At 35.7% G+C, this 8,507-nt stretch overlaps 1 protein-coding gene across 9 annotated transcripts in view; it reads right to left on the reverse strand.

Moving 5' to 3' along the window:
* ZNF521 (zinc finger protein 521) overlaps positions 1–8,507 on the reverse strand; it is a 290,243-nt gene that overhangs the window by 125,016 nt on the left and 156,720 nt on the right. For 7 of the 9 annotated variants that reach the window (NM_001308225.2, NM_015461.3, XM_017025698.3 and 4 more), the window contains one exon: positions 8,221–8,305. In NM_001308225.2, the coding sequence (NP_001295154.1) occupies positions 8,221–8,305 (85 nt within the window). The remainder of the gene's footprint in view (positions 1–8,220; positions 8,306–8,507) is intronic. The other 2 variants (XM_017025697.3, XM_011525909.4) reach the window with 1 other exon arrangement.

Here is an 8,507-nt window from a genome sequence, read left to right on the forward strand (position 1 = left end):
AGAAAACATAAAGAGGAACAAATGGAGAAGAAAAGTCATACTTCTGTACGTTCCATGTGGCTGCAAGATTGTGTCTGATATGTACGTCTCACAGGCGTTTTATTAGTTTGGTTTAAAAAGCCTCACTGTGCTCTGTGGAAAATCTTGTACAAGTGCTCTTTAAGTTAGATAAACCGCTAGAAAAATGCCATTCATCTTAAAGAAAAAAGTAAAATTTCTAAGCACATTATTTTCCTAAAGAACATTATTTTCCTAAAGAATATTATTTTCTTAAAGTGTGAAAAGAGACTGTAATCTCTTTTCATACTTAAAAGATGTAGTTCCCCAAAACTCTGAGGAAGACTTACATTTTTATGTCAGCGAAAACAAGGTGTCTGAATTAATGCAATGTAAGCGTGAACTTAAACGATACAATTTCTCTATTTCTCCTGCCTTGATTCACTTAATTTGATGAAAATAGTAAGAAAACGCTTGTTACCTCAGAGTTTTTTTTTTTTAATTCTGTTGTTTGTTGACTTTAATTTTAATAACTCTTAAATAAGCACTCACAGCAGATGGACTTAAAATATGCTGGCAAGCAGGCCCTTTTATCAACAATTTTGCCATAGAAATACACAAACATTTCAATGGCTCTTCATTAGCAAACAAATCAACAAGTGATATTTTAATGCATGACTTTATTCCATCTCTGTGGGGACTGCAGTTGAGAGTGTGATGTACAGTACAGAGAAAGGAATCATCAGCCACAATGTCCCAGGGCTCTCTCCATTGAGGACTTCGCAGCCTCTGCTTAAAGACTGCATTTAATTGACTGATAGACAGTAGCTTCTTTGTTCACAGAAGACAGCGAAGTAATGGCAGCTTGAAAATCGTACCATCTACAGGGTCTCCTGAGACTAGTAACAGGGGGATATGTGTCAGGAATAAATAAATAATCTAATTATTAAGCCACTTCCTGTCAAGTTAACTCCAATTTGTTGGCTTTTGAAGGCAACAAAACGAGGCATTTTTCCTCATTATGCTTCTCTTTTTATACCAGTGGTAATCACAGGCGGATTAAAGGGTGCCTGATTGGTTTTTTTGTCAAGGAACTGAGAAGCAGCCAACAGTACAGAAAAACAGAGTTGGGGTTAGAAGAAATTTCATGCTTGTCTCCTTTCCAGCTCCCTAACAGCCCACACGGCTGCCCCATACAGAGCTGCCAGCTGTACAGCAAATGTGTACCCCTCCAACTGAGGCCTACCGGGCCACAGGCGCCATCCTGAGAGCTGTGAGATACCTTGCAATCTTGGCAGGTAGCTACTGCTGTCATAGGCATAATTCTAAAGGTGACCTACGAAACCCCATCAGCTCACCAAATGCAACAATATGAGCAGCTGAAGTTCGACACCCACTCTCCATATTGGCTCCCTTTCCTTTGTTTACTGCTATTAATGGCCCTGAAACTAGGAAATAACCTATGGAAATAGGTCATCAGAGACCTTTTCCTTTGATGTGTGTGAACGGATTCTGTGGAAATAGGTCACGATGTGTGTGTGTGCATGGGCAAGCATGACTGTGCAGGGATCTATATCTTTTTAGGTATTACTGATGACTTTTAGTGCCCTCCATTCGGAAATGCTTTGCAAGCTTCATTCAGAAACAGATACCCACATCTGATAAGGAACATATCAAAGAGTGAGTGAAAAACCGATACATTAGTGATACATTCTACCGGAAGTCAAAGGTGAGGACAAAATGAGGTCCAGAAGCCCTGCCATTGTATGTCAGCCAGTCACATGGCCGTAACCAACTGGTAGGGCCTCTCTTCCTAGCGTCTCTGTGCTGAGCCTAGGACGACAGGGTGGCATCCAGTAATTCTCCTTGAGAACAACATTTTTCTGAGGCCCCTTTAGGGGCAGTGTGTTCTAAAGAGTAATAAGACACTGAATCTTCGATCTATGGCCTCAGCCACAATCCTCAGCCTCACAGAAAATTAACATCATAAGAAATGTCTAGCACGCTATCTTTGGGGTTTATAAATTAAAAAGTACACTAACTGCCAGTATTTTTTATTCTTGTAAATCAAAGCTGCTAGACGCAAGCTAAAACACATGATTTGTCTTTTAATAGCTTAACCCTGAAATTGAGTGACAGACCTGAAGACTTTATCCCAGGTTCCTTAAGAAATGAGAATCCAAAGAATCACGATGAGCTCTTAAAAACTCTGCCTTCCTCCAAGAAGTCATTTTTCTTTGAGTTTCTTTTAAATTGTCTTTGTTTTTAGGAAGGCTGATCATATGGAGCCTTGGTACGTTCCTGTGGCCCCCTCTTTGCACTTGGTAAGCAGTACAGCTATGTTATATTTATGCCCGCGTATGTCCTTTCTAAATACATCCTGAATTTTTGCTAAATTGTGGAGATAATTAAACCCTCTTCATATTTACAGTCTGCTTCATTGGTACCATGAATTCTGTTTTCAGTTACTGTCTGCAAATTCCCTCTCTGAACAATTTCATACTAAGCAATAACACTTCATTTTACGTAAGTTTTATCTGATGTCCCCATACAGAGCTGCCAGCTGTACAGCAAATGTGCGGTTCTCAAACTGAGGCCTACCAGGCCACAGGCTCCATCCTGAGATCTATAAGGCACCTTGCTGTCATTGGCAAGCGTTCCCTGCTATCTCTGTGACCATCACTCCACACTGCACACAACTTAAAATCATCTGATTATTAGAATTTGTGGCCCACACTCCATTTTATCCTTTATTTAATCTATCCCCAGATCACACATTTGTTTAAATGTTTTGGCTGGTTTACAAATCATGCAGCCATCTGCACAGTAGGTGTGACACAATTTTTTAGACAAAAGTTACGTTATAAACAAAGATAAAGTCATTTGAAATGCTTTGGTGTTTGTTATTCTGCCTGGTTCACTTGGACCAACTCTAAGAAATAAATAGAATTATCTGTGTAAATCGATGAACATCTATGAAAAACAACACCCAGCAGAACGCCCAGCTTGCTCCATTACCTACGTTAATATCATGACAGCTGAGGAGAGATGACCTGGCCCACTTCTCATCTCTCCTGTACAGATGGCTATTAAAGAGAAAGTATCCCTTTTGTATGGTCCATGTAGAAACCCTTTATGGGCTTTTCAAATAAGCCAGCATTGCCCACATGAGGGTAGCTTTCTGTTACCATTAAACTGCCCAGATTTCATCTTTTTTAATCCAGCTCTTGATGAAATAAGCCAGTGTTTTATCATATTTAACACCAAATGCTTGTTTCTTAATTCTCTGAATTTTGTAAGCAATCAAATAAGGATTTTTTTTAAAAAAGGGTTCAGTCATCTTCTCATTTAGAATGAATGTAAATCAAGGTTCCAAAAAATCTCAGTGATTTTGAGCTTCTTAGGATAGCATGGAGATTATAAACACATATGTATAGCCACACATATAGGCATTATTGTTGATCCATTTCTATTCATTCTTTTGAAACCAGTCGGTGAAAGCAAGAGTTTAAAGGGAGACATGGACCTTTCTCTTCCTATGCAAAGATCCATATATTTGGATATTTTCCCTTAGGACATAAAATCCTAAACTACTATGAACCTCAAAATACTGGTTTTAGTCTTTTCTAAAGCAAGTGCACTCAAGCTGAAATGCTTCAGAGGTGATACTGAAAGTCGCAAAACAATAATGAAGATTAGTCACATAGTACACCACCCACTAAAGAAATGAAAGGAAAAGAATGCCATTTGTGACCTTGGGCACCAAACAAATTGCAGGAAGTATGAATGCCACCTGCCACAAGAACAGACTAAAATTTCACCACACTGTTAAGAACGGATTTACTCATTCTTTATGCCTTGACATCAGTGATATATATCATGTGTAACACAACACATAGAGTACGTATCTTCCTACATATGCTGGAGAGAGCTTAATCTTTTTCTGATTTTTTGAAAATCGTGATTATCTATAAAATACCGAGTATTTATTAGAGATATAAATAAAAAGTCAGTATTTTTGCATCAGTATTTTCTTATTAGCTATCCTTTAAAATCCTAAATTCTAGTTCTGCTTTTCTAAGAGACAAACATATTTGCTTCTTCAAAATGCTTTAACATTACACTTGATCTATCTAGGACACGTTTATTAGTGACTATTTCTGGATTTTCCTATCTTTTACAAAACGGGGTATCCTGACACTTAGACACAATTTTGCCATTACAACACTGGTCTCTCTAGTCAGATGAAAAAAATAAAACATATTAAGTAACCATTTCTAAGTATATTTTAAAAAATAATCCTTATGTAAATGGCTTGTACCTATTCCATTCATTTTCTCCATCCATGAACTTTGAAAGGGAGGCCTGGAAATGGCCACAGCTATATCCTGACTACTTGTCCTCCAAAGTCCATAACTATAGTAATCAATTCCAAGGATAATGGTATTTCTCCCCTTTGATCATTCCTTTGTCAAGCTGACTGGCCTTCGATGGTGAGTGTACTGCTGGTTGTCTACCACCAGCCGCTTGCAATTTGCTCACTATGTTTCATGAGACAGTTGTTTGTGGCTGTTTGGAACACATTTGTTTCTTTGGGGATTTATGCGCTAGTTGCAATGCCAACCTCCATAGTGATCGAAATTTCTTTCTAACTAAAATAGATAATTAGAGGCTGGTAATTATTGGTCAAGAATTATCAGAGTGAAAAAATTAAGCTTCTCATAAATAGTTCTTGGCAATGTCATCTCTTTATATTATCTGATGCCTAACAGCCCTTTATTCAGAGCACTTACAAATTTACTCTATGCTGTTGAGCCTCATAATTTTATATGAGGCAATCCCTTTGCTGGGTTAAACACATTTAAATTCTCTTGTTTCATCTCTATTTTTGCTAATCCATACCAAAGAATAATAATAATAACAGACAGCTCAGAGAGGAAAATAACAATAAATATTTACTATGCTGATTTCAGAAAAGAGAAGGGTGAATAGGAAATTAAAGCACGTAATACACACTTGTATCTTGTTGTATTCTCAGGTCAAAAGCCAACATAAACTATGTGAAATGAGCAAAGGAAGAGAGGAAAAATTTTCTCATTGGCACAGATCTTAAAAGAGGGAAATCTTTTCCCCAGGAAAGCTGTTAAAATGTTTTGTAGCTCTTTTTGCGTGTGTGTAAAGAAGAAAAGAAACCCCTGAATAGTCACTGGTCTGATTTCATACTGAAACTCTGTCAAAATGTGGTGAAGAGGGAGGTTTTCTTTTTTTCCTTAATAGACATAAGTCAATTCCCTAGTGCATTTTTATCGAGTAATTATTCTCGCAACTCAGACCATGTGTCCACACCTTGCTGCAAAACTGCACTTAAGAAGAGCACCTCTGGTATGTACCTGGTAGAAACATTGGTGATTTCCCTTTCACAAATGTCCCTGGCCAACAGCCTGAGACCAGCACATCCAGAAAGATGTGTGGCGGTTGCTTGACACTGAGATTGCACACAAACATAGGTGCCACAGGAGCAAATGCAAATGACTTGAGTAAAGAAGGAATTTAAAGTTACACCTCATTGGGTCATCTGTAGATCTTGTTTTCCATCAGGTGACATAATCCTTCCTCTACATTGATTGAAATGTAAAACAAAATCTGCAAAAACACTATATACCCTCTTAACAAAAGGAGTAAGAGGCTTTTCAGATAGTCCCTAATCCCCCTTCCTCTATTAAATGTCTAGTTGAGATTATTTTTTGATTAGACAAAAAAAAAAAACCACACACAGATACACAACCTAAAAATACCTACCCTCAATGGAGGTATTTTAGCTAACAAAATAATGCAGCCTGCATCATTTGAAAGACTAAATAGCACATTGGAATTCTAAAAAGGGGTATCTTAGCCTTTGTGACTCCCTTGGTTTTTGCATTCTCTCTAGATACTAACAGCACAAATAGGGTGTAAGGACTTGGATGCATGGTCAACAAATAAAACAATTAAATGGATGCTACTCATTTGTTTAGGCCTCAAGTGCAAGAGAATTACATATTTTTATTATTAAAAATGGCATGAATATTAAATAACTAGACCCTCTGTGAAAAGGAATGGAATGTGCTTCTCTGATGAAAGGTGAATTGTTAAATGCTCAGGTCCCAAGAGGTAAGTGTCTTATTAATCCACTATAAGGTAGAAGGGAAAAAGCCTTGGGAAAGCACTAATGATGCAAGGAATATAAAATAAATACAAATAGGAATGATATAAAGCAATTTAAAAAGAAGACAAAACAAACTGATTAATGTTTATAGGCAAAATGATACTAAAATTGGAAAATCAAAAAGTCCTGTTATGCTGAACATTCAATTGAAATTCTAAATGTGCAAAAGAGTATTAACATTGTGGTGAAAATATATTCAACATATTCATCTATGTACTGGGACAAATAATAAATCCAGAAACAAAAGTAAGTTTACATTGAATAGAACTAATGAGAAGCATGACCACAAAATTTCACTGAATTTCCCATAAACTGCAGACTTCTAAGAACTGCCTTCATTCAAGCCTATCTAAAAGTGCAGCATGAGGTAGAATCATGAATGACTGCCACCAACACAGTCTACTCAAGAAATAAAGAGACGGGAAATATTAACATTTATCATTTGGCAGGAATTCATTTTTTCTAAGCTGCTCCTCTCCTCTAAAAAGCTGTTTTAAAAGTTTATATAAGGTATTTTTTACAATCTCAAACAGAAGGGAATTGCAAGGAAACATTTGAATCTCTCCTACATTTTGCCATTATCTTCTAATCACTCACTAAAGCTGTCAACGCTATTGTCACATTGAAGGATATACTATTTAATATATGAGAAATCACGAATAATATTAATACTTAAATCTGGAAAATACAGAGATGAATTGATCAATATTTTAGCTGTTATGTATAAGTTCCATTTTGCACAAATAAGCTCTTAGTCATTTATAAGCAACAACCCCCCAGAAGACCTATCATTTGAAAACTATAAAGCACATCCTATTGAAAAATTATCAATCAATTTTCCAACATGCTTTTGAATTTATCTTCATTAATTTATATAAGAAAAATTGAAGTTTTGTTATAGCTTTAATGATCAGAAATGACAGGGGAACAACCTTCCACTAAGCATTCTTAGAATATTTCTAATTAGTATACAATCAAACTTATTCCCCCCTGAAAACAAGTTCATAGTCTAAACTGTTGAATTTTCTTTCCTGTCTTACAGAGTTTCATAGTAGGAGAGTATGAGGTTAATTTGACTTTTTAAATATTATAATTATTTATGGTATTATGAAATACCATGAAGTGAGTATGAAATAGAAAACTCATAGTATAAAAAACATAAATGAGTAACAAAAATAGCATAAAGTAATAGCAATTGTCATTGTACTAGTAGAAAAATGATCTGCTTGATAAAGTTTAACTGGCTGGTAAAACGTTTAGTGTTATTACTAAATGCTTATCAAATTAAAAAACATAGGCAGTAATCCATGAGGAATTAAGAAATAATGGGACAATATGAATAAGTTAAAAAAATATCCTTTTGGTTTTAGGCCATGTGATAAATGCAAAATCCTAAAAACAATGGCCTGGAGTAATTTCAGAAATCTTTCCCCAAACTACTTTTATTAAAATCTATGGAAAATTTGGTGGGGAATAAAAAATGATCACTGAATTCTTTACATGATCTTTATGATCATGATTATTTCCAGGCTGTTGAAACCATACATATAAAACTATTTTATGGCTATTTAAATTATTTATGTTTCCCTATCACAAAAACTCGCTACTTTAGATTTTGATACAAAGATGCTTAAGCAACGCACAACAGTGCCATTACCATAATAACTTCTGAAATTAAAACCTGTCTAAAACTCTATGGAAAGCTAACATCCAGTTCATTAACCATTCCTGTTAGTTTTCAATAATGCAAAAATGATTAGAAGTTTAATTTGTTAATCACCTGTGTTTTGACTGGCAGTAGATATATAATCCTCTGCAGAAGTCTAAACTAGCCCTTGCAGAAAATAAAATGTGCTAACACCTTATCAGGACTAATAACAGAAATTAAAAAAAAAATCAATCATGCCGAGGAAAAACAATGATGGTTGAACAATTAATTCATCTTTAACTCTGTTTAATGGTGATATACACAAGCAGAAGAAACATCTATCTGTAATAAGGTTTAGAGTGTCACTCACCAATCATGTGATTTGCAACATGAACCTGAATATCCCATTCATTGTAGAAAACCATCTGACACTTGATGCATTGATAGGTCTTCTTCTGAGAAAACAAGTATAAACAGAGTTACTTAGACACATGGACTTTTAATTGTTTCTTTGTTTAAAAAACATTTTTCTGAGATGCTGATCTTACCTATGTTGCTAAGGAACAAACTAAACTACAGGGCCCCTTGGCCCAAGTTCTACGAATTCCTTACTTAGACCTTATGGCTTGATCCCAACACTATATTTTCATTTGCAGA

This window comes from Homo sapiens, chromosome 18 (genome assembly GCF_000001405.40).
Source record: "Homo sapiens chromosome 18, GRCh38.p14 Primary Assembly".
Taxonomy (NCBI): domain Eukaryota; kingdom Metazoa; phylum Chordata; class Mammalia; order Primates; family Hominidae; genus Homo; species Homo sapiens.